At 46.4% G+C, this 25,111-nt stretch overlaps 1 protein-coding gene across 15 annotated transcripts in view, besides 1 other annotated feature; it reads right to left on the minus strand.

Moving 5' to 3' along the window:
- The window catches only part of ABCC11 (ATP binding cassette subfamily C member 11), an 82,721-nt gene that overhangs the window by 14,777 nt on the left and 42,833 nt on the right, over positions 1 to 25,111 (minus strand). For 12 of the 15 annotated variants that reach the window (XR_007064925.1, XM_017023798.3, XM_017023797.3 and 9 more), the window contains 10 exons: positions 23,633 to 23,705; positions 20,681 to 20,884; positions 18,546 to 18,680; positions 18,376 to 18,472; positions 16,637 to 16,726; positions 14,284 to 14,387; positions 12,925 to 13,122; positions 7,606 to 7,832; positions 7,358 to 7,495; positions 4,845 to 5,031 (listed from right to left, as the gene is read on the minus strand). Coding sequence is in view for 14 of the 15 variants with exons in the window: in XM_017023798.3 (XP_016879287.1) it covers positions 4,845 to 5,031; positions 7,358 to 7,495; positions 7,606 to 7,832; positions 12,925 to 13,122; positions 14,284 to 14,387; positions 16,637 to 16,726; positions 18,376 to 18,472; positions 18,546 to 18,680; positions 20,681 to 20,884; positions 23,633 to 23,705 (1,453 nt within the window). In the remaining variant the exon portion in view is untranslated. The other 3 variants (XM_011523398.4, NM_001370496.1, XM_047434818.1) reach the window with 3 other exon arrangements.
- Positions 8,843 to 9,137: a silencer, noted in NCBI's record as "tiled region #3115; HepG2 Repressive DNase matched - State 8:EnhW". NCBI's record gives its function as "represses a minimal TATA promoter and a strong SV40 promoter by Sharpr-MPRA in HepG2 cells {active_cell/tissue: HepG2}" and the evidence as "EXISTENCE:reporter gene assay evidence [ECO:0000049][PMID:27701403]".

A 25,111-nucleotide genomic window follows, 5' to 3' on the forward strand; every position in this document is an offset into this window, starting at 1 on the left:
AGATGTAGGCCTGCCCTCGAGGAGATCCCAGCTGGATGGAAAGGCAGACAAGGCAACAAAGAATAAAGTGCAGAGGGGCGCACTCCACAATGGAGAAGCCCTGGAGTGCCACTGGGATGCACAGGAGGGGCCCTGGATGAGGGCACAGGGAAGGATTCCAAGAAGAGTCAGTCCTAGAGTGACATTTTTAAGGTGAAGTAAGATGCAGTGGACTAAAGATGGGTGGAGAAGTGTGTTCCAAACAGAACAGCCTATGTAAGCCCTGAAAGCAGCAAATTCTCAGAATACATCCAGGCACCCACAAGCCATTTGGCTATGGCTGAAACAAAAGGGTGTAGGAAGGAGGGGAAGCCCTCTGTAAGTCAGAGAAGGTGGGCACCATGATGAAATGGTGCTTAGTCTGAAAAAGAGGCCAGGGGCGGGTTGGAAGACCACTTTTCCTCCCATCCCTCAGTGTATCACACCCTGCGGGCTGCCTTGCCAGCATCATGTTCAGGTGTCTGGTGGTCTTATGCTTCAGGGAAGCTTGGTTAATCCAAACCAACCACATTAATTCTACTCCTCTTGCCAGAGCTTGGTTTAGGTGTGGGCTCATGATGCCATTCTGGCCGTTGAAGGATGAGAAGGCATCAGATGGGTGTATTCTTGAAAACTTCTCTTTGCTTTTAAAAAGGAACACATGGAAAAAGTTATCTCCTCTCCAGCCTTTGACTGTTATTGTGGGAGGATGTGACACTTGGGGCTGCAGCAGCCATTTTGTGACCATGAATACAGACAGACTTGCAGACAAAGCCAGGCTGTGGATGCCAGCACAGAAAGGTAGAACGATCAAGGGTTCATGCTAGGCCACTAAATGAGCCAACTGAGCATAGGCCTACCCCAGCCTTCTGGTTACATGAGAGAATAAGTTCCCAGATGGTCGAGGCCATTTTGAGTTGGTTCTTTGCCTCGCAGCCAGATGCATCTCTGGCATTTACTGAGAAGCCTCTTGGGGCTGCAAAGCAATGTGATGTGTGATTCCTGCCTCCCAATGCTCGAATGTAATTTTCTCAAAAGCGCATGCAGAAGTCAGTGAGGTTCTGGCTTGACTGGAGCAGAGGGAGCACATTGAGGTCAGGACCCCATAGCTGAGGTTTGGTAGACAGGAGACAGAGTTTTTGAAGGCTTCTGAACGGGGCAGTGACATGATGAAAACTATAATTAAACATTACTCTGGTGAGAGTGTGGAAGGTGACTTGGAAAGTACTGAAGGACTGGGAACTGAGACGTTATTACCAGGATGAAGATAAGATGCTTAAATAGTACAGCAGACCTTGAAAAGAAGAAAAGACCCTCAAGGGCCATTTTGAAGCAGTCAGTCCCCCAGGCAGGGTTTCCCATTAGAGTCTCCTGTGGTGCAACAACCTTTGAGCAACCGCCTGCTGTGAACAGTGCACCCTGGGAGAGATGAGCCTCTGCCTCGCTCCCTACAAGGGCTGCGCTTAGGGCAGCACCAGCACTGGGCAACCTTCGCCCTGAGCGTTGCCCTCCTGATCTATGTCCTGAAGCAGCAGCGGGAGGGATTTCTGGGCCTTAGTGATTCCGAATCCCCTAAGACACTGGTGTGGTGCCTCTCCCTGAGAGTGCCGGAGGTTTGGGGGGCACTCTGTAATGGTGCATGTGTATGTGTATCAGAGAGAGAGAGAGAATGTGAGCCTGTGCACACACCTGTCTCTTATTGGCTATGGGAACATAGCCAAGTTACTTAAACGCTCTAAGCCCTAAGTTTTCTATTTGTAAGACAGGAACAATAATAGCTAATATTCATTGAGCATTTATTCCAGGCCAGGCTCTACTCTAGGTTTTTACAAACATTAAGTCTCACATTTACACATAATCCTCACAAGTCTATGATTTTGAAACTTTTATCTCCCTTTTACAGATGAGGAATCCCAGAGGTTAACCAATTTACCCAAAGCCACACAGCTAATAATGGGCAGAGCCTCTTTGAACCTGGGTATTCCAAACCACATGTTCTTTTTTTTTTTTTTTCTGAGATGGAGTCTCGCTCTGTCACCCAGGCTGGAGTGCAGTGGTGCGATCTTGCCTCACTGCAAGTTCTGCCTCCCAAGTTCACGCCATTCTCCTGCCTCAGCCTCCTGAGTAGCTGGGACTATAGGCACCTGCCACCACGCCAGGCTAATTTTTTTGTATTTTTTTAGTAGAGGTGGGATTTCACCATGTTAGCCAGGATAGTCTCGATCTCCTGACCTCGTGATCCACCCACCTTGGACTCTCAAAGTGCTGGGATTACAGGCGTGAGCCAACGTGCCCCACCCCAAACCACATGTTCTTAACCACTTTGCTCATCTCATGCAGTGTGGTGAGCACTGAATGCCTGGAAGAGAGCACGGCCAGTGCCTGGCATTGCACCAGCTCAGTGGAAGCTCCCAGTCAGCCCAGCTGTTATTGCACTCCCAGTGCATGTACGTGCTTGCTTCAGGGGGCTCAACGAGGAGTGAGATGGAGCCCCTTTGCATGCCCAAAATAACAGCTCAGCATGGAGGACTGATACATGTGCTCATGGACATACATGCACTCCAGCACATACATGCACTCCAGCACACACATGCACTCCAGTACATACATGTGCTCCTGCACATACATGCACTCCTACACATACATGCATTCTTGGACATACACGCACATGCCTGTGTGTGCAGAGCCTTCTGCAGACACATGGACATTCAGAGAGCTATGTGGTCCTCACCCTCAGACGCCTGGGAGTGCAATAACAGCTGGGCTGACTGGGAGCTTCCACTGAGCTGGTGCAATGCCAGGCACTGGCCGTGCTCTCTTCCAGGCATTCAGTGCTCACCACACTGCATGAGATGAGCAAAGTGGTTAAGAACATGTAGTTTGGGGCGGGGCGCGGTGGCTCACACCTGTAATCCCAGCACTTTGAGAGGCCAAAGTGGGTGGATCACGAGGTCAGGAGATCGAGACCATCCTGGCTAACACAGTGAAATCCCATCTCTACTAAAAAAAATACAAAAAAATTAGCTGGGCATGGTGGCGGGCCCCTGTAGTCCCAGTTACTTGGGAGGCTGAGGCAGGAGAATGGCATGAACCCAGGGGGTGGAGCTTGCAGTGAGCCGAGATCGCATCACTGCACTCCAGCCTGGGCAACAGAGCAAGACTCCATCTCAAAAAAAAAAAAAAAAAGGAACATGTGGTTCGGGATATCCAGGTTTAAAGAGGCTCTGCCCATTATTAGCTGTGTGGCTTTGGATAAATTGGTTAACCTCTCTGTGCCTGGGATTCCTCATCTGTAAAAGGGAGATAATAAAAGTTTCAAAATCATAGACTTGTGAGGATTATGTGTAAATGTGAGACTTAATGCTTGTAAAAACCTAGAGTAGTGCCTGGCCTGGAATAAATGCTCAATGAATATTAGCTATTATTGTTCCTGTCTTACAAATAGAAAACTTAGGGCTTAGAGCATTTAAGTAACTTGGCCATGTTCCCATAGCCAATAAAAGACAGGTGTGTGCACAGGCTCACATTCTCTCAGGGGACATACGCAAGATCCCAAGCCAATTAGAGAGAAAGCCACATAACCACAGAGGGGACAATTAATGAATAAGCCCTGGGGGAAGGAGCCCTGGACTGGTACAGCCCAGGTTCCCTTAGGCACTGCCAAGCCGGCCTCAGGCCTTGGGGCCTTCACGGATGCCCCTTCTGTGGGACTCTGTGGACAGTGAACCTTGGCCAGTCGCTCTCTCTCCACATCTCTCCCCATCTCCCAGCCCCCAGTGTGCTGGGCACAGAGGGATTCCGGCCTTGAGGTACACAGCTCACTATATCAGAATCTCCTACAGAACCCGTTTTAAAAATTAGATTCCAGGCTGGACACGGTGGTTAACACCTGAGTGCCAGCACTTTGGGAGACCGAGGCCAGTGGATCACTTGAAGCCAGGAGCTCAAGACCAGCCTGGCCAACATGGCAAAACCCCGTGTCTAACCAAAAATACAAAAATGAGCCGGGAATGGTGGCATGTGCCTGTAATCCCAGCTACTCAGGAGGCTGAGGCAGGAGAATCAAGTGAACCCAGGAGGTGGAGATTGCAGTGAGCCAAGATCGTGCCACTGTGCTCCATCCTGGATGACAGAGTGAGATCCTATCTCAAAAAATAAAAAACAAATTAGATTCCAAGACCCCAGCTCAGGACCAGACTCAGAATCTCTATGGCTGTGGCCCTTGACTATGGTCCTCCTGGCAGCCCCACCCATGCCCAGAGTGAGTCAAACCCCCCGGCTAAGGTCCAGAAGTCTGTTTCAAGTCTTAGGCACATTTAAGTTTGAGAAGCCCTGTTCTAGGGGCTGGGCTGTGAAACCCACCTTTTAAACAACCTTTCCAGGTGATTCAGAAAGGTTTGACAGCTCAATCAGGATAGGAACGGTTAGGTACAAAGACAGCAGCCAGGAAGCCAAGAGATCAGTGTTCTCGTTCCAGCTCTGCTAACATGCATCTGTTTGGACAACTCCTTCCCTTGTCTGGGCCTCAGTTTCCCCATCTGCATAATATGCACACTGGACTCTGTCATCTGTGGGCTCCCCTTCACTCCCAGTGTCCTGTGATCCTATTAAATACCTTTGAATACAGACTTCCCAATTCAGAGCTGACCACAAGGAAACAGAGCAAAGTACCAATTTCAGAAGGCCAAGCACATAGCTCCTAAGATCACACGTGGCCAGAGCCTAAGGTGTCATTGAACACCTGAGGACCCCCTGAGTCTGCCCAGAAGCCACAGGCAGAGGATGAGCAAAGCTCAGAGAGGGCCCACACAGAGTCACCCCCTCACCTGCAGCACGATGTTGACAGCCATGACTTTAAAGGAGTAGGGGGTGGAGGAAATGCCAAAAGCCACGAACAGGGCAACAGCCAAGGTCACAAGGTTGGTCATGATCTCCAGCCTCAATGCCATCCATCGTGTGGAAGATAGAAACAACAGCAGGTAGTTATTCTGCGCATCAGTCAGCCTCTTAAACCTGAGAAGGAAAGCACAGACTAAGAACCATGTGTTTGTCTGACCTAGGGTCTCCCCGGGTCAGGGTAGATACCGGCTGCTTCCTCCAGCATCCAGTTCCCCACTCCCAGCAGCAGGGCCTGATTTTTCTTTGGGGAGTTCCTCCCTACCCCTTTCTCAGCCATGAATTTGGGTGAAGTTGACCTGACTCCTAACCCAGATTGAGGAGTAGGCTCTGCTGCTAAGGCCCATCCTTAGCACGCGCTCCTCGCCTAACCTCTGTGACTCACTCAGGGATGGGTGAGTTACCCCAAATTGGCCACAGAGAGTGAATAAATGCCAGGACGTGTGAGTGAGTGTGGGAGTGATTCCTTTCAGTGGGATGATGGGATATCTGAAACTACCATTCTGCTACTAGGAGGGGAGCCTGGAGCCACCAGAGGGTCTCTGGGAGCTTAAAGGTAAAATAACACCATGGAAGGCAGAGCAGTAAAACCGAGACACCCGGGGAACATTAGCTGAGTCTCTGGATTAAGCCTCACTTTAAGCAAGTCCTCCTCCCCAGCCTTTTGCTATGAAAATTTTTATAAGTACCAAGAGATTAAAAGCTTGATTTAATGAACATCTGTATACCCTCTAATGAAAATTTTTTAAAGTACCAAGAAATTAAAAAGTTTATTCCGTGAACATCTGTATACCCTCTACCTAATTTAGCAATTGTTAGTATTTTGCCATATTTAAGTCATATTTTTAAGCTAGTTTGCATTAGTTTTTTCTGTCACTTCCAACCAAGAAACCTACCAATTTCCAATTTTCACATACCACCATCACAGTTTTCCATGTCAATCACAACCTGTACTGTTATTTGATTAGTATTATTATTTTACTTGCTTTGTTTGAGAATGTATATTAAAAGAAACTTTAATCACAACCTTAAATTATATAAATAATGGGTTTGATATGTTAGTTGCATTTTTTCTAAAGTACATTCAAATAAACCTTTGATTATTGAAATTAAATATTCATTTACTCATCAACTAAAACCATCTTACCATCTGAGTGGGCTATCACCCCAGCAGAGTGGCCCTTCTGACTCACTCTGTCCATACCCTCTGAACCTTTGCATAAGACATTCCAAATTCTGTCCACCTTACCTTTCTATACTGATTGAGTCACCTCCACCTTGAGGCCTTCCCAGATTAAACACAACAGACCCTGGTCACTCTGTGGCCCCTGTGCTCAAGCCACCTTGCTATCCTTCAAACCTACTTCCCCCATCTCATGGTCTTTGCATTTACTGTCCCCTCTGCCTGGAGAGCTCCTACCCACATATTTCCATAGCTCAACCCACACTTCATCTCAGGGTCCTTTTCTCTGACACCTTCCCCAACAACAGCTCCAATCCCTCCAGACTCTCTTCATCTGCTTATCTTAGTATATACCTTGGGGCAGGGTTCTCAGTGTGGGCTGAATGAATGCACCGCTCCAGGATCCCCTCAGTCCTAGAGTCTGCACAGACCTTGAGTGGTCTATAATGCCACTGAGAGAGCAGGTGCCACAATTAATCCAATATTCCAGCTAACTGAGCACATACCGTCTCCCAAATGTGTGCCCAAGTCTTACCCAGGCTTCAAGGCCAGCTCAGATGCCACCTCCTCCCGAAAGCCTTATCTGATTCCCCCAGGCCACCTCCTTCCCCTCTGAATTCCCAAGCAGTTTATCTGCCCCTCTCTTATGCTATCTACCTTCTTCAATCACGTATAATTACAAAAACATGTGCCTGTTTCTCCCTTTTTCCACCAGACTATGAACTTCTTGTAGGTGAAGACCGTGCTTGATTATTCTCTACAAACAGATAAGTTCGTGTTACACCATTAAACCTCAACAACAATCACAGGACTTGTTTGCTTGTTTGTTTCAACATTTAGGGGGCAAATCTATGGCATGAGTAGTGAAGGAAGTTCTATTATTTAGAAAGCTATTGTTCCTCATTATTTTGTTAAAGATAGATATTTGTTTGGAAGTGAAAGAAATAACATAATGCAAGATGTGTTTGCACAGTAATGCACCTTATCATTAAATGTATGTATACATATGTCCATATATATATACACAATATATACAAGGTCTTTAAAGTTTACAAACATTTTTCCTATCATTTACATTTTTCATTCTTATAAATGAAAGAATGGTTCAGCAGGTTCTGGAGGCTCAGAGAAATACGTCCATCGAACAATGTGCTCTCTGATGCTTTTGAAGATGATGCCACTCCCAGACGCTCCATTCTTTCCCTGCTCCCCACCACCCCTGTGGTTCCATCATTCTCAAATGGCAGCAGAAGGACTCACTGGCTGATGAAGTCTTCAGTTTTTCCATAGACATGGATGGAGCTCAGGCCTTGCAGAGAATTGAGGATGTGGGAGAATAAAGGAGACCGGCTATAGTTCTCCAGTCTCTTGAACACACCGATGGCCTTCTTGAACATCCTGCATGGACAGTGGAGGTAAGGGACCTGGACCGTCCACCTCTGGGACCATCTAGTCTGGGTTGGTCCCAGCCTTGCTCCCCAAGTCACAAGCAAAAAGAACCTACTCACATATAATAAATGAAGCAAATAACCATGATTATGGCTCCCATTAACAGGATATATGGAGACAGCACACTGACAATCAACAGGACGGCGATCACCATTAAGGACAGGACCAGGAACTGCTCTGAAAAGATGGGCAAGAGCTGGTCCAGCTGTTCCAAGTCCCCTGCGAAGCAGTTCAAAAGCCGGCCTATTGGGATGGTGTCAAAGAAACTCATGGGGCAGCGGAAAACCTGCAGGGACAAAATCAACGCAGACCATGAGAGAAGCTGCAGGCCCTGCTCAAGATTGGATGAAGATGCCTGTTACCCTTGACTCTAAAGAGCCACGGATCCCAGGGGTCTCCAGGGCAGGCAATGTAGAGCAATGATTTAAAAGCATGGATGGGCTCCACGGCTACCTGACTCCTCCACCTACTGCTGTCTGACCTCGGGCAAGTACTGAGTTCCTCTGAGTCTCAAGGTCCTCGTTAGCGAAATGGGAATGAAAACGATGCTTCACAGAGTTGTAGTGAGGATCACACAACTCCTCAAATATACTAAACACTGAAGTGTATAATTAAAAGGCTGAATGTATGGTATATGAATTATATCCTGTAAAGCTATTAGAGAGAGAGAGAATACATTAAAAATGCTCAGAGCAGTGCCTGCCCCTGAGGTAGGAGGTGAGACTTGACTCTGGAGGCAGGGTTTGAACGCCAGACCAAATTGAGGACTAGCTAAAACAGGGGTGGGGTGGAAGCCACTTTCCATAAGACAGGCCCACCAGTGTGTCGTGTCAGTTTACCATTCCCATGGCAACACCCAGGAGTTACCGCCTCTTTCTGGGTCATCAATGACTTGATGACTTGGAAGTTGCCACCCTTTTCCTAGAAACTTCTGTATAAACTGTCCCTTAATCTACATGTAATTAAAAGTAGGTATAAATATGACTGCAAACCTGCCCTGAGCTGCAGCTCTCAGCACACTGCCTACGGGGTAGCCCTGCTCTGCAGGGTCAGTCACAGAGCTGCAACACTGCCAGAACTGCAACAGTGACACTTCAGTAAAGCTGTTTTCTTCTACCCTACCACTGGCTTGCCCTTGAATTCTTTCCTGGGCAAAGCCAAGAACCCTCATGGACTAAGCCCCAGTCTGGGGTTTACCTGCCCTCCATCACCCCCAGTAGGGCATTCTACCAATACCAGCTCTTATTATTTTCTACAGATGGGACCATTTTCACTCAGGACTGCCAAAGATTAGGAGCAGCAATCCTACTGGGTTGCACACGATTTGGACCCTTGGATCAAATTTAGCCTTAACTGCCCCCTTCTTGAGGGTGGCACCTGCAAGTTGATCTCTAACAGCCAGTGGCCATGAGGCCTTTCGGAGATCAAAGGACATGTCAAACCACAAGGTAGGCTCTAACAAAAGCATTTAGTTTGGTGTCCTTGTTTTGCAGATGAGGAAACTGAAGATTGCAGAAGAGGAAGTGGCTCTGTAACTTACTCATTACGCAAGTGGTTAATGGCAAAACCATGATCCAATTAGGCCTTCTGAGGCTTCCCCAAGCCTGGCACAGTCACTCTTCACAGAAGGCAATTTCTTAAAGGTTCATGGCACTGACCAAATGACCACCTACATTTCCCCATGTACTTCTCAAGCTATAATGCAAGAAGTAGAAATGAATAGAAGCCAATGGCATTTATTAAAGCCAAACTCAAAGAAAGAGGAGGGAAGGACATTTTGACGGTTACTAAATGTAATTATTTGAGCCATGAAGTGTTCTCTGTAGCTGCTCTCATCGCAAATGCATGGATACTGCTGACCAAGCGTAGCTCTCATGTATGTTTGCTTTCTAGCTGGTGGGGTAGTGAGGGTTGGAGGAGCAGATTTAAAGCCTCCTTGCTTTTTCTGCCTCTAAAATCCCTTCAATTTTATTTCCAGAATGTTTTATTAAATACTTGAGCTAAAGCAATCAGAATTGTCATGATCACTCAGAGGAATCAAAGGGCAAAAGGGTCACCCCTTCAAGGACTCTGAGCACACCTTGCAGGTGCGGGGCATGGCAGGGTTGTGGAGGGGACACAGGAGTGGACGTCAGCTCCACTGTGGGTGAGGAAGATGCATCTGTGGAAGCCCAGCATTACTTTGGATTAGGGACCAATGGTGGCGACAAAGGGAAAATGGTTTCAGTTTCTGATTGTCTTCTAAGTATCAAAATGATCTGGGGTTGTTCTTGTTTGTTCATTTTTGCTTCATTTTTTTCTGTTGTGCTTGCAGTTGAGCGAACTTTTTAAGATTTATCCTTTACTTGTGATTCTTTAAAACTACAAAGACAAATTTAAAGTTTAAAAAGCCATGAAAGGACTGGAAAAAGGAAAATATTTTAAACACAAAACACGTTTTCATGGAAAGAAACTTGAACATTTCTCAAAATTAAAATACGAAATGTCATTTAGAGGCATGGGCACTGGATATTTCTAGAATCTTGGAATGTGCCATCAAAAGAAACTCAGAGACCACCTTGAGGGCCGAGGGCCACCCCCAGAGGCCGGGTGGGAAAGTGTCAGGCCTCAGGTAGAATTTCCCCCTCCTGCTTTCTGGTTCTGCCAAGCTTTATCTGAGAGGTGGGGAAAAGCTTTGTCTCACCCTGCCAAAGTTGAAACACTTCATGGCAACACAATTTGCATTCAGTCTACAAGGAACGATGGGCCGCTCCTCACCTCCTGCGTCTCCAAGTCAAAACCCCCACTCCCACCTCTGAGATTAGCCTTCCAGAGCTCCATTCTCCTCCCAGAAGTGCTCTGCTTTTGTTCACCTTCAGTCTCCTGGTCTTGAGCTGGCTAAATCTGATTCCTCCTTCAAGGAGTGAAGTCCCCAAGAAGGCTTTCTGGACTCTCCCCACTTTCTTCCCCTGCCCTCAAGCTAAGACAAGGTGCCTCTTATGTTCTCATGGCCCTGTGTGCTCCATCCCGTGATAAACTTTACATATCTACGACAATGGCCTGTTTTCTTGTCCATCTCCCCCATTAGACTATACATCCATGATGGCCCAAACCCTACCTGCACTGTGCATTCTCTAATGTAAGCCTCATGCCCACTGCAGAACCTGGCACATAGTAACACTTAGTAAGTGAGAGAGAGGAATGACATTTCCAAGAAGCAGTGTGATACCATAAGCAATTTGGTTTTTTTTTTTTTAAATGAGATAGGGTCTCACTGTCTCCCAGGCTGGAGTGCAGTGGCATGATCTCAGCTCACTGCCACCTCCACCTCCCTGGCTCAAGCGATCCTCCTTGATCCTCAGTCCCCCAAGTAGCTGGGACTACAGGCACAAGCCCCCATGTCCGGCTAATTTTTATATCTTTGGTAGAGACAAGATTTTGCCTTGTTGCCCAGGCTGGTCTCGAACTCCTGAGCTCAAGCAATCCACTCACCTCAGGCCTCCCAAAATGCTGGGATTCCAGGCGTGAGCTACTGCACCCAGCTGACAATTCAGTATTCTAACCAAACACATATTCCAACTTTAACATATGTGAGATTTCAGTTTCCTCATATGTAAAATGAGGATAATATCCACTTCAAAGAGAACTCAGGGCAATCATAAGCAACTCTGTATATGACCATGCTCAGCCAGTGGAGGCCAGCGTCACTGTGGCCCTCCATCAGGGGACACTGAGCTCTTAGAACCAGACTTCCAGCAGGAGAGCTCCACCGCACTTTCATCACTCCCTTCTCACCAAGCAGCCTGGTTCACCCAGCTGCAACTACATTTTAGAAAAGGCAAAGCTATGAAGAGAGTAAAAAAGATCAGTGGTTGCTGGGAGTTTGAGGGTAGGGAGGGAGGGATGAATAGGTGGGACACAGGGTTTTGTTTATGGCGGCGGAACTATTCTGTACCATGGATACATGTCATTATACATTTTTCAAAACCCATAGAATGCACAGCACAAAGAATGCACCATAAGGTGAACTATGGATATTCATTAATAATAGTAATTAATAATGTACCAATATTGACTCATCAATTGTAACAAATGTCCCACGTTAATGCAAGATGTTAAGAATAAGAGAAATGGGCCAGGTGCAGTGACTCACAACTGTAATCCCAGCACTTTAGGAGGCTGAGATGGGCAGATGGCTTGAGCCCAGGAGTTCAAGACCAGCCTGCGCAACATGGCAAGACCTGTCTCCACAAAAATACAAAAATTAGCCAGGCATGGTGGTGTGCCCCTGTGGTCCCAGCTACTCGGAGGTTAAGGTAGGGAGGACTGCTTCAGCCCAGGAGGTCGAGACTGCAGTAAGCTGTGATCACACCACTGCACTCCAGCCTGAGTGATAGGCAGGTATATGAGAACTCTCTGTACTTTCATCTCAATTTTTCTGTAAACGAAAAGTGCTCAAAAAATAAAGTTGGCTTGGTTTCAAGTCTTTGCTATTGTGAATAGTGCCACAATAAACATACGTGTGCATACATGTGCATTTATCTTTACAGCAGCATGATTTATAATCCTGAAGCTGGAAACCATCATTCTCAGAAAATTATTGCAAGGACAAAAAACCAAACACCACATGTTCTCACTCATAGGTGGGAAATGAACAATGAGAACACAAGGACACAGGAAGGGGAACATCACACACTGGGGCCTGTTGTGGGGTTGGGGGACGGGGGAGGGATAGCATTAGGAGATATACCTAATGTTAAATGACGAGTTACTGGGTGCAGCACACCAACATGGCACATGTATACATATGTAACTAACCTGCATGTGCACATGTACCCTAAAACTTAAAATATAATAAAAAATAATAATAAAATAAAGTTGGCCGGGCATGGTGGCTCACACCTGTAATTCTAGCTACTTAGGAGGCCAATGTGGGAGGATTGCATTAGCCCAGGATTTTGAGACTAGCCTGGGCAAACAGAGCAAGACCCCATCTCTACAGATAAATAAATAATTAAGGTCTACTAATAAAAAAAAAATAGGCCGGGGGTGGTGGCTCATGCCTGTAATCCCAGCACTTTGGGGGGCCGAGGTGGATGGATCACTGGAACCCAGGAGTTTGAGACCACCTTGGGCAACGTGGTGAAACCCAGTCTCTACAAAAAATACAAAAATTAGTCAGATCTAGTGGCATGTGCCTGTACTCCCAGCTACTTGGGAGGCTGAGGCAGGAGGATCACTTCAGCCTGGAAGGTGGAGGTTGCCATGAGTGGAGATTGTGCCACTGCACTCCAGCCTGGGCTACAGAGCTCTAAAAAATAAAAAAATAAAAAAATAAAAATGAAGCTGGGCAAGTTCAGAGCTCAGCCTTCGGCCCCACCCAGCACCCAGGCCCATACCTTGTTGAAGAGCTTGTTGTGCAGGGCCGTGGATGCCTTCCTCGTGACCTTGGTGAAAATCCCTGAGGAGCAGACCCCCACACAGATGAGGAGCAGGGCGTTGAGCCCGTACACCAGCTGGTAGAAGGACAGTTGAGGATTGTCTGCAATGTTGCCCAGGTCTGCCATGGTTCCATTGCTCTCTCGGCTGCTATTGGTCTTCAAGAAAGAACAGGGGGTCTGACTGCAGGTGTCCGGGGGAAATTCAGTGGCAGGGAAAGCCTTCTCCCTGGGGCCACGTGAGAATCTGTGGCTGGTAGAAGGTGAAGCTGTTTGCCCAAACCTCCCTGCTCAGCGCTTGGCTACTCTCTTTTGCCCTTCATTCCCACTGCCCTGCCCTGCATCAGGCCCTCAGAGTCTGCCCCGTGGACACTGCAGCAGCTGGGCCCTTGTGCACGCTCTGCTGTGATGCAGCGAGAAGCTTGGGAACGTGATTTCCCAGAACCCCTCCCAGCATGGTTTCAGGTCAGATTCTGCCAAGGAGAGGCACCCACAGGGAAACAGAAAGGTGGAAGAGGAGAAGCCAGCATGCTCAGTGGCAACTGTGGGCAGGAGCATGGGGTGTGGGGTTTTTCCAGAGGCTGGAAGGCATCCTGGGAATCACCCACTTCAGTTCAGCTGAGATCCCTGATGGCCAATTCCCCTCCAATGGTTGACTGAGCCTCTAATTCCCTATATTAAATCCTTGGAAGCTCTAAATACTTAGAGTGGCTTCTGCTCTCCTGACCCAAACCTCCTGGTACACGATCCAGAAATTAACCATATGGAGTACTGTGGGAAAAGCATGGCTTCGATTCTAAGCACCAAGTTCAAGTTCCGGCCCTGTCCTGTCCTAGGGCAGGTTCTTCATCCTCTCTAGGCACAGGGTCCCCTTGGAAAAATGGAGACAGTGGAACCTTCCTCTGAATGTGGGTGGGGAGATTAGTGAAATAACTTGACACAGTGTGGCCCGTGGTGGCTCCCAGCTCACAAGACCAGAAGTATATTTTAAATAAACCATAGTATGGAGGCCAGCCTGGAGCTAAAGGAGACAGTTACTGCAGTGGAATGCAAAGATTCTTGGGGCACTGTCTGGGGATATAAATCTCTTGGTTTTCCAGTAAGACTGCACAGGCGACCACCCATTCTACAAAGTCAGGAGGCCTGTGCCAGGGGAACCCCAGAGTCCTGGCTCCCCACGGTTCTCTCTGGAACACCAGCTCTGGGCTTGTCATGTGGGTCCCAAGCCATGCTCTGGCTCTTGTGGTCTCAAGGAGCAAGAAGTCACCCCACCTCACTCAAGCCCATAGAAACACAGCCCATCCACCTCATGGCACTCACCCCCGAGCCCTGCTCCAACCAGTAGCTCAGCCACCAGAAGCTGAAGATCGTTAAGAAGACGATCAGCACCACGAAGAAGAAAATTATGCAAGAGACCATGTAACCTGGGAGGGAGACAGTGGTGATGTACAAGTGCCACAAACAGGTGCGAGGCAACTGCTGACTCAGCTGCTCGGCCATCTCTGTCTTTGAGTGCTTGGAAACCCTTGAGCCCCACCCAATGTGGACACCTTGGAGGAATGGGAAGAGCTGGGTTCCAAAGTCAGAGAGCCCTGGGTTCAAATCCTGGCTCCACCACTTCCAAACCGTGTGACCTTGGATAAGGTACCAAATGTCAGCAACATACCACTTCTTTACCTATGAAATAGTGATAACCTTACCAGCTTCAGAGCCATGCTGAAGATGATATGATATAATGTGTGTGAAGCACTCAGCCCAGTGCCTGGCACAGGGCAGTGTTCTAGAGAAGTTAGTTCACCTTATGCAGGTCCTGCAGGTTCAGTTTTATAAATAATAATAACAGTTACCTTTTATGTGGTACGTACTATTATGTGCTACATGCCAGGAATAGTACCAAATGTATGCATTATTTCTGAATTAGTAATTCCTATCCCCATTTTCAATAGTGCTACTGTGTGAATGTATGTGTCTCTCCAAAATTCATATGTTGAAACCAAATTCCCAAGGTGATGGTATTAGAAAGTGAGGCCTCTAAGAGGTGACGACCATGAGGATGGAGCCCTCATGAGTGGCATTAATGCCCTTAAAAAAGAGGCTTCAGAGAGCTGCCTTCCTGGTTTTTTGTCCCTTTCACCATGTAAGGATACAACATTTATCCCCTCCAGGGATGGAGGACACAGCGTTCAAGGCGCCATCTTGGAAGTAGATACTGGGCCCTCACCAGACAAAAAACTTGCCAGCACCTTGATCTTGGACTTCCCAGTCTCCAGAACAGTGAGAAATAAATTTCTGTTCTTTATAAACTACCCAGTCTAATATATGTTGTTACAGCAGCACAAATAGGCTAATAAAATGAGGAAACTTAATCTGAGAGGGGAACTCCCTTGCCCAAACTTGCAGAGTTGGTGAGTGGCAGAGCTGGGATTTGAAGCAGTTAAGGGCAGGAAAAGGCAGGGTACACTCCTTGGGGCACTGCCTCCTGCTCTAGCACTCCTCTCATCTATTCATGCTCACATGTCCCGTGCCCACAGTCTTTTCCCAAATTCTATCCTTCCTTCAAGGGCTATCTCTTCTTTGATGAGATTTGAGATTCCCTGGCCACAGAGATCTCTCTTACCATCTGATGGAAGCAAGTCTTAATTCTCCAGCTAGATTCCAGGGTTGGTTCTTAGATGACTTTATACCCCTCCCCTCTAGAGCTTGGCACAGTGCCTGGAACATAGCAGGCACTTTGTAAATACAGATCAATGTAAGCTGCTAGATCCATTCATGCATTTCACAAGCATTTGCTGTTTCCTGCTCTGTCTGGGCAGGCCCTGGGTTACTCCTTGCAGGATACCCATGGTGGACGGGGTGGGGACGGCGTTCTGTGTGCACAGCCTACCTCTTCCTCCCCCAGGCATGCAGACAGGAGACATCTTACACAAGGGTCAGCTTCCAATGTAAACGATGAGTAAAAAGTTTCATGGAGTAAAAATTACTCTCAAAAATCTCTTAAATTACTTGATAAGTACAGCACCATATACTGAGTTTTGTGTTTACAACATTGTACAGTAAATATACATGATGATATATACCATTTAATAAGGCAGTAGCTTTGAACTTCTAATTGCCCTCTGCCTGCCTTAAGAAATAAAAATTAAGAAATTTTAAATCACACCAAAATAAAAGTCCCACCACTGTGACCTTTTGCGATGTGGCCGCTATTTTCTCTCCGATTCTATTTCATGTCTTTCAGTGCTGCTCATGATAAACTCAGCTGATTGTAAAACCTGCTAAGGGAGCAGAGCCCAGAGTTTGAAAAACACTGAAATAATGAGGCAGGGGCACTTTGGGAGGCTGAGATGGGAGGATTGCTTGAGGCCAGGAGCTCAAGACCAGCCTGGTCAACATAGCAAGACCCCATGTCTATTCTATTTTTTTTAATTTTTTTTAATTAAAAAATAGAAAAACACTGAAATAATGAGTATACATGAAAATATAACTTCCAACCTTGGCTTTGGTGGTAGAGTTGCTATAACTGAGTAGAGTTTGGTTTTGCAAGTTAGGCCAATAAATACCATGGCTCCTCTGGACCTCTCTACTTCACATGACCTCACGTGTTCCAATCTGACCCAGTTCCAGGGATAGGGCTGCTCCAAGAGAGAGCCCTGGGCTGGCATGGGGACCGTACCTCCAGCTGCCTGGATGTAGTGGTGGTAGACCCTCCAACTCAAGGAGCCTTCTTCCATCTCCTCCTCCTGTGTGAGCTGATGCTCCGGCACTGGGTCAGGGTAGAAGAAGAGAAAAGTGGTATGCCTGCCAATCACATGATCTGCTTCCTTCTGTCTCTGGCTTCGATCCTGTGCCAGCTTTTCACTTTCCAGCTTCAGTGCCCCACCTATGTCTAAGGTTTTTCATGGAAGACTCTACTGAAAGAAACCTTTGACCTGGGCTCCAGAGCCTGGAAAGGGATCCATCCTTAGCCATTCAATAAACTCTGGAGGGACTGCGGGGTCTCACGTGTGTGATGGGCTGAGAGAAACGCAGGAAAGAATGAAGAAAACCACCTGGGACCAGAAAACCTAGGTTTCAGAACTGTCACTATGACACTGTGCAACATCAGGCAAATCACTTAACCCTTCTGTTTCCTTGTCCGAAAAAACGGAAAGCCGAGAAGTTTGCTAAGATGCCCTGCAGCCATACACTTCTGAGATAATGCTTCACAAAACAGCCCTGACACAAGCCCAGGTGGACTCTTGGCCTTGAGCTTGGCCTGAAGACCGGTACCTGGAGATGCCCATAGATGTTTCTGATGATAATTGTAACAACAAACATCACGACAGTGACTGTCTGCTGCTGCTGCCTGCTATTCTCCCTTCTAATAACGACACCCCAGTATTTCCTGGGGAACGGTGCTCTTTTTCTGGAATTTTAATCCTGAGGGAAATTACACCAGGATGGAAATTTTTTGAGTAGGTTTTCTTCAAAAAGCCTCAGTTGGTGGCCGGGCACAGTGGCTCATGCCTATAATCCCAGCACTTTGGGAGGCCGAGGTGGGTGGATCACTTAAGCTCAGGAGTTCGAGATCAGCCTAGGCAACATGGTGAAACCCAGTCTCTACTAAAAATACAAAAATTAGCCGGTGTGGTGGTGCGTGCCTGTAGTCCTAGCTACTTGGGAGGCTGAGGTACAAGAATCTCTTGAACCTGGGAGGCAGAGGTTGAAGTGAGCCAAGATCAAGCCACTGTATTCCTGCCTGGGCAACGGACCAAACTCTGTCTAAAAAAAAAAGACTCAGTTGGAGACAGGAGCCTACAATGTGACAGGTACTGTGTAGGGGGCTTCCCTATATATGACCTCATCTAATCTCCACTTTTGCCGAGAATTCAGAGAGGTTAAGTTAGATGGCTAAGGTCACACAGCTTTGTAAGCAGCAGAGCTGGGATTCAAATCCAGAACTGTCTTACTTGAAAAATGGAAGTCGCTCCCTTCTGCTACTCTGCCCCAGACAAGAGCAAAGCCATGAGCTTCCAGACATCAGGGGCTAAACCCAATTCATTTCTGATCCCTAATACCTTTGCTCTCAATATTTACTCTCTTGCAGTGTGTAATGAATGAATGTCTAGATGCCTGGTCAAGTCTTAAATCTGTGCCACTCAGAGCCAAAGGTACCCCCTATCCTTCCTCTGATGTACAACCTTAGCTGTGCCCCCCACAACACTCACTTCCTGGATCCTTCAGGCCTCCTGCCCATCAGTCTACACCCCATGGCCCTCAACTACTTGGTTCTGGAACCTGTGTATGTAAATGCTTAGGGTCTCAAGACACTGAGGGACATGGCCCAGTCTGGGGTCAAGGAGGAAACACTGGGACCTCTGGAGGACCCAGGCAGGCATGCAGACATTCTTGTCCTATCTCCCACACCATTACCAGCATTTCCGTTGAGAGACTCTTCCAGGGAGGTGGCCAGAGCCTGACTTTCTACCTTTGGCTTCTCTGCTATCTTTGCTGTGTCCTGCAACATGTCCTGGGGAGAGAGCACAGGCCCTGAGTACACGTGCGTCCACCGTGGGTAGTGAGGGCAGTGGGGCAGGACTCACCGAAGTGGCTTCCTTGTGCATCTTCTGGATAAGTTGGGCATATTTCCCCTTTTTCTGCATTAACTCACTGTGAGTTCCATTTTCACAGATTTTCCCATTTTCCAACAAAATGATCTGGCCACAAAATTCTAAGTACTGGACAGTCAAAAGAAAGAAAGGCTTCAGTAAGCACATGGAAAGATGTTTGATTTTACTATTCACCAGGAAAATGTAAATTTAAACCATGATAAAATATTATTTCATACCAACAGATGAGCAAACATTCAAAAGTTGGACAACTCCAAGTGTTGGTGATGATCTGAGGCAAAAGGAACTCTCCTTAACTATCAAGAGGATTGTAGATTGGTACAACTACTTTGGAGAACAATTTGACCTATTCAGTAACATGGAAGATTTTTGAAGAATTATGAACCAACGATTCGACTCCTAAAACCCTACCCAAAAAAACTCTCAAACATGTGTGCAAAGGTACACGTAGAAGGATATACACTGAAGTATTTTTTTTTTTTTTTTGTAGAAGTGAAAAATAAGAAACAACTGTTCATCTTGGAGAAATAAATTCTGGTACATTCAGATATTGGAATGCTATACCAAGGAGAATTAAATAAAGTTATAAGGCTGGGTGCAGTGGCTCATGCTTGTAATTCCAGCACTTTGGGAGGCCAAGGTGGACAGATCACGAGGTCAGGAGTTCAAGACCAGCCTGGCCAACACGGTGAAACCTCGTCTGTACTACAAATACAAAAATCAGCCAGGTGTGGTGGCGTGTGCCTGTAGTCCCAGCTACTCGGGAGGCTGAGGCAGAATTGCTTGAACCTGGGAAGTGGAGGCTGCAGTGAGCTGAGATTGTACCATTGCACTCCAGCCTAGGCAACAGAGTCAGACTCTGTCTCAAAAAAATATATATATATATCTATATATATATAAAGTTACAAGTATCAACATGGAAGATCTCAAAAAACATAATGTTGAGGGAAAAAATGAAATTACCAAAGGACACAGAAAGTAAAAAATAAATTCTATAAAGTTTAAAAATATGCAAAAGGAATTTCTTCATGTCTAGAGATTCATGCATACACTGTAGAAGTATGAAGACATGCATGGAAACAATAAACAACAAAGTCAGGAGAGCAGAAAGGGAGAACTGGAACAGAATTGGAGAGTGGAATCAATGTTTTATTGTTTAATCTGGGTGGTAGATACATGGGTTTTTATTAATTATTTTCTAAACCTTGTTTAGGTCTTAAATATTTTATACCAAAAAAAAATAGTAAAGCAAAAATAAGGGGCGAGAGAAAAAGAAACAGAAGAAGAAGGGGGAGAGAAAATAATAAGGCACTGTGGCCAATGCCATAGATGAAAATATTCAAGGGAAAATGACCCAGGAGAAGCACCACCAGAAGCAGTCATTGCACTGCGGTCATCATCGGTAAGAAAACACACTGAGATGGCTCTCAATCTAAGAATGGGAGACTTGGGGAATTCTTTTCTGAGAGATTGGTTTCTTTTTCTTTTCTTTTCTTTTTTATTGATTTTTTTTTTTTTTTTTTTTTTTTTTGAGACAGGGTCTTGTTCTGTTGCCCAGGCTGGAGTGCAGTGGCACTCACAGCTCACTGCAGCCTTGACCTCCGGGGCTCCATCCTCCCACCTTGGCCTCCCCAGTAGCTGGGACCACAGATGCACCACAACACCTGGCTAATTTTTTTAAATTTTTGTAGAGATGGGAGGTCTCTCTACGTTGCCCAGGCTGGTCTTGAACTCCTGGTCTCAAGCAGTCCTCCTGCCTTGGCCTCCCAAAGTGCTGGGATTATAGGCATGAGCCACCGTGCTCGGCCTGTTTTCATTTTTTATAAGTTGAAAAGCAGGGGTCTACTCAAAAAATTTTGAAGATAAAGGAGACCATAAAATTTGTTCTCAATTTTTACCAGCACAAAAATCTTCTACCAGTCTGTTTGCTTTGTGTGGAAAGCAGAGGAAATCCAAGTTTTTTACAGCCCTCCCCAAATGTGGAGGAGTCTAACCTGAGATGAGGACAGCTGCTGGGAGGCTGTTATTGAATCACACTCTGAAATGGCAAAGGCTTGAGGATCTACGTTATCCGTCAATCACAGTCAGAGCCCTGGAAGGGTGCTAACCTGCAGCTGGTGGGTCACCAGGACGACCGTCTTCCCCCTGAGTGTCTTCTTAATGCACTCCTCAAAAATGTGCTTCCCCACGTGGGCGTCCACAGCAGACAGGGGGTCGTCCAGCAGGTAGATCTGACGGTCGGAATAGACGGCGCGGGCCAGGCTGATCCTCTGTTTCTGCCCCCCAGAGAGGTTGAGGCCCCGCTCTCCAATCTGCAGACAGGCAGTAAAAGGCACCATGTCCAGACAGCAAGCACAGCCAGGTGTGCTCAAATGGGTAGGCAGATGTAGCAGACAGAACCCCCTCAGTACAGACCAAGATATGCACACACTCCAGGATACCTGATAATTTGGCATTCTGGACTTAAAAATACATATATATCTCACTCATATGTGGGAGCTTAAAAGCTGATCTCGTGGAGGTAGAGAGTAGAATGATGGACACCAGAGGCTGGAAAGGATTTTTGGGGGTAGGGAAGGGAGGTGAGAATGAAGAGAGGTTGGCTGATGGATACAAACATCAAGTTAGATAGAAAGAATAAGTTCTAATGTTTGATAGCAGAATAGGATGACTATAGCTAACAACAATGTATTGTATATTTCAGCAGAGCTAGTAGATAGGATTGAAAAGTTCTCAGCACAATAGAAATGATAAATACCCTAAATGCCCTGACCTGATCATTACATATTCTACAGATATAACAAAATAGCACAGGTACCCAAAAAACATGTACAAATATTATGCATCAATAAAAATATTTTTCAAAACGTGGTTAGTAGGGGATGAATAAATTGCTTCTCAATTAATTAAAAATCTTACAACTCTCCATGTATCCCCTGAATCTAAATTTAAAGATATATGACTTTTAAAAAATTGTAACTCTTACTTAGATACAATTTTTCTAAACCTATCAACTTCTAGGAGGCAAACATTAAACTATTAAAAATTCAGATAATAAAATAAGTCACTTATTCCCAAGTCAGAGCACTGTCTCACATATTATTCTGGTTTTATTTATTTGGTTTTTTGAGACAGGGTCTCCTCTGTTGCCCAGGCTGGAGTGCAGTGGCACCAGCAATCATGGCTTACTGCGACCTCCGCCTCTCAGTCTCAAGCGATTCTCCCATCTCAGCCTCCTGAGTAGCTGGGACTACAGGCGGTGCCATCACACTTAGCCAATGTTTTTAAACCTTTTTTTTTCTTTTTCTTTTTTTTTTTTTTTTTTGTAGAGATGAGGTCTCACTATATTGCCTAGGCTGGTCTCAAACTCCTGGGCTCAAGCAATTTCTCCCACCTTGGCCTCCCAAGGTGCTGGGGTTACACTGGACCTGGCCTTATTCAGGTTTTTAATCTCCATTGACAGCACCTGTCAACTTGTGGGACCATTGGCCTGGGTTACAGGTGTCGTCAAAGACTATTTGCACTGTGTGCACCCACTCAACAGACCAGAGCTACAATGGCTGCAAGGAGCTTTACTGACGCTGGAAGGACCATCTCACACGGCACCTGCTGTGATAGGAGTTGAGGGTGGAAACCCAAGTTACTGAGCATGTTTTGCAGATTAGCACTCCAGGCAGCTGCCAGCTGGCCCATCCCTCCTTGAGGCTCTGAGGAAGTGGGAGCTGGAGTGTAAGTCCTAGTTCCTGTTCTATCCTGACTGCTTGAAGTCTCTGTAGAGAAGAATCAGAGTTGAAATGGTGGCAGAGAAAACTCCTGTCCCTGCCGTGCTTCCAGGTCACCACTGTGTGACCTTGGACAACCTGCTTGATCTGGCCAAAGCCCAGTTTCCCCATTCATTCATTTACTTATTCATCAAACACTATTCAATGCCTACTGTGCTCTTACAATAATAGTTAACACTTACTCTAGGCCGGGCACTAGTCAAAACACTTTGTATTAACTCATTTAAACCTCAAAGCAATCCGATCAGGTCAGTACTCTTATTTATGCCATTTTACAGATGAGACCTTGTTCTTCCTATTGAAGAAACAACCTTGAATAAGATCATTGAGCTCTCTGCCATCAAGGATTTATAGTCCCAGCTTTAAAAGAAGAAGAATAGGCCAAGCGCAGTAGCTCATGCCTGTAATCGCAGCACTTTGGAAGGCCGAGCTGGGTGGATCACATGAGGCCAGGAGTTTGAGACTAGCTTGGCTAACATGACGAAACCCTGTCTCCACTAAAAATGCAAAAATTAGCCGGGCCTGGAGGTGCATGCCTGTAATCCCAGCTACTCAGGAGGCTGAGGTAGGAGAATCTCTTGAATCTGGGAGGTGGAGGTTGCAGTGAGTCGAGATCGCACCACTGCACTCCAGCCTGGGTGACAGACAGAGAACAAGACTCCCCTTCAAAAAAAAAAAAAAGAAGAAGAAGAATTAAGAGACTACCCTCCTGAGGTTATTGAGATTATCGTGACTCTCACCTAAGACACTACATTCAAGTCACTAGAATAGCACCTTGCATGTAGTAAGTGTTCAACAGACTGAGATATTATTAGACCATTAATATCAAGAAGGCAATGCCACTTTTATCTCGGGTGAGGGTCGTATGTGTATTAAGGTGGCTGCAGATGTAAAAGATTGGAATTATCGGGGAAATGTTACAGTCAGAAATTTCCCCTGAGGGTCATGGCTGATGTTGCACCAGCCGGAGTGGGGCAAGGGCGATGCAGCGTTTCTCATCTTGACAGGGTCTCCGCTCTTGCTTCAGAAGAAGGAGCTTGAGGTCAGCTCTCCACCTCTGTGGGATAAGGTACCCACTTTCCTTTCCAGGTGCCTCTATAAGCTGAGCCCCAACCTCCCTCAGTGAGGGAAGCTTTGCTCCTCCTGCAGCAGCTGCAGGAAAAACTCCAACTGCTTTGGGAGGAAGAGCTGGGATTCCTCCCTTCCCTGCCTGGGGAGGCAGCATGAACATAAGAGCACCAACATTACACAGAGAAGGCAGGCTCGCCTCCCTCTCACCTCTGTCATGTCTCCAAAGGGCAGAAGTTCCAGGTCCCGATTCAGGGAGCAGCAGTGGAGCACCTGGAGGTATCTGTGAAGGACAGGGAGCCATAAGGCACAGGGGACCAGCCCTCCCGCCCATCACCCTTCCCAGTGTCGAGAGGAATGGTCTTGATTTTCATGCTAAGAAATTTAGACTTGATGGTGTTTAATGGTATAACACTGAAGGCTTTTTTCATTTCCTTCCCTCTTTCATTTCTTTTAAATTAATACACACTCTTAGTAAATATTTGACCAGAATAAAAAGATGCAATAAAAAGCAGTTCTCCTTCCCATCTTTGACCTTCATTTGCTTTTCTCAAAAGCAGTCACTCTTGGCCAGGCACGGTGGCTCATGCCTGTAATCCCAGCACTTTGGGAGGCCAAGGAGGGCAAATCACCTGAGGTCAGGAGTTCGAGACCAGCTTGGCTAACATGACAAAACCCCGTCTCTACTAAAAATACAAAAATTAACTGGGCGTGCTGGTGCGTGCCTGTAGTCCCAGCTACTTGAGAGACTGAGGCAGGAGAATCACTTGAACCAGGGAGGCGGAAAGGTTGCAGTAAGCCAAGATCACGCCATTGTACTCCAGCCTGGGAGACAAAGTGAGACTCCGTCTCAAAAAAAAGCAGCCACTATTACAGTGTCTTACGTATTTATTCAGAAATAATCTATTCGTATATGGATGTGTACTGCATGGTACTGCATGTATAGGTTATTATTGTTTTAATGGCATTTTAGTATTCCATTATATGGTTGCACCATAAATTATTTAACCAGTGGCCTAGTGATGGACACTGGAATTTTTTCTACTCTTTTGCTCCTGTGAGCAATGCAGTGTGAACATCTTTGTATATGGGTCTTTGCTTCCATGGGTGAAAATATCTACACATTAAATACCTAACAGTGAATTTGCTGAGTCAAAGGGTTGGTGCATTTTTATTTTAACAGATATTGCAAAATTTCTGTATGAGTTCTATCAGTCTCATAGAAGACCCTAAAGAAGAGCAATGACAAGATGAGAGCTGGGACTTAGGATGATTGCCCTGGAGACAATCTTACGCGGGGTGGAACAGAGCAGGAGATTAGAGACAGGGACCCAAGGGCAGGGGCAGTGGGAACTGTTCAAACAAGAGATCACAGGCTGAACGAACTAGAAACAGAGATGGAGAAGACAGAAATACAAGAGATATGTAGGAGACAGGCTTATTCACGATCGGTGACCAATTACCAATTAGATGTGGAAGAAATCAGAGGAGGAGACATCTGGCTTCCCGGGGTGCAAGGTTTGGGTGATGCCATTAAACTGAGTTGCACAATTTGGGAAAAGAAGCCAGGGGTATGGGGCTGGGCAGGCAGGGTGCTCATGAGTTGGTATTGGACATAATTGTGAGGTGTCCACAGGACAACTAGACAGAGACAGCCAGTTCCTACACCTCCATATCTATGTTGTTCCC

The sequence above is a fragment of the Homo sapiens genome, chromosome 16 (assembly GCF_000001405.40).
Source record: "Homo sapiens chromosome 16, GRCh38.p14 Primary Assembly".
Taxonomy (NCBI): Eukaryota; Metazoa; Chordata; class Mammalia; order Primates; family Hominidae; genus Homo; species Homo sapiens.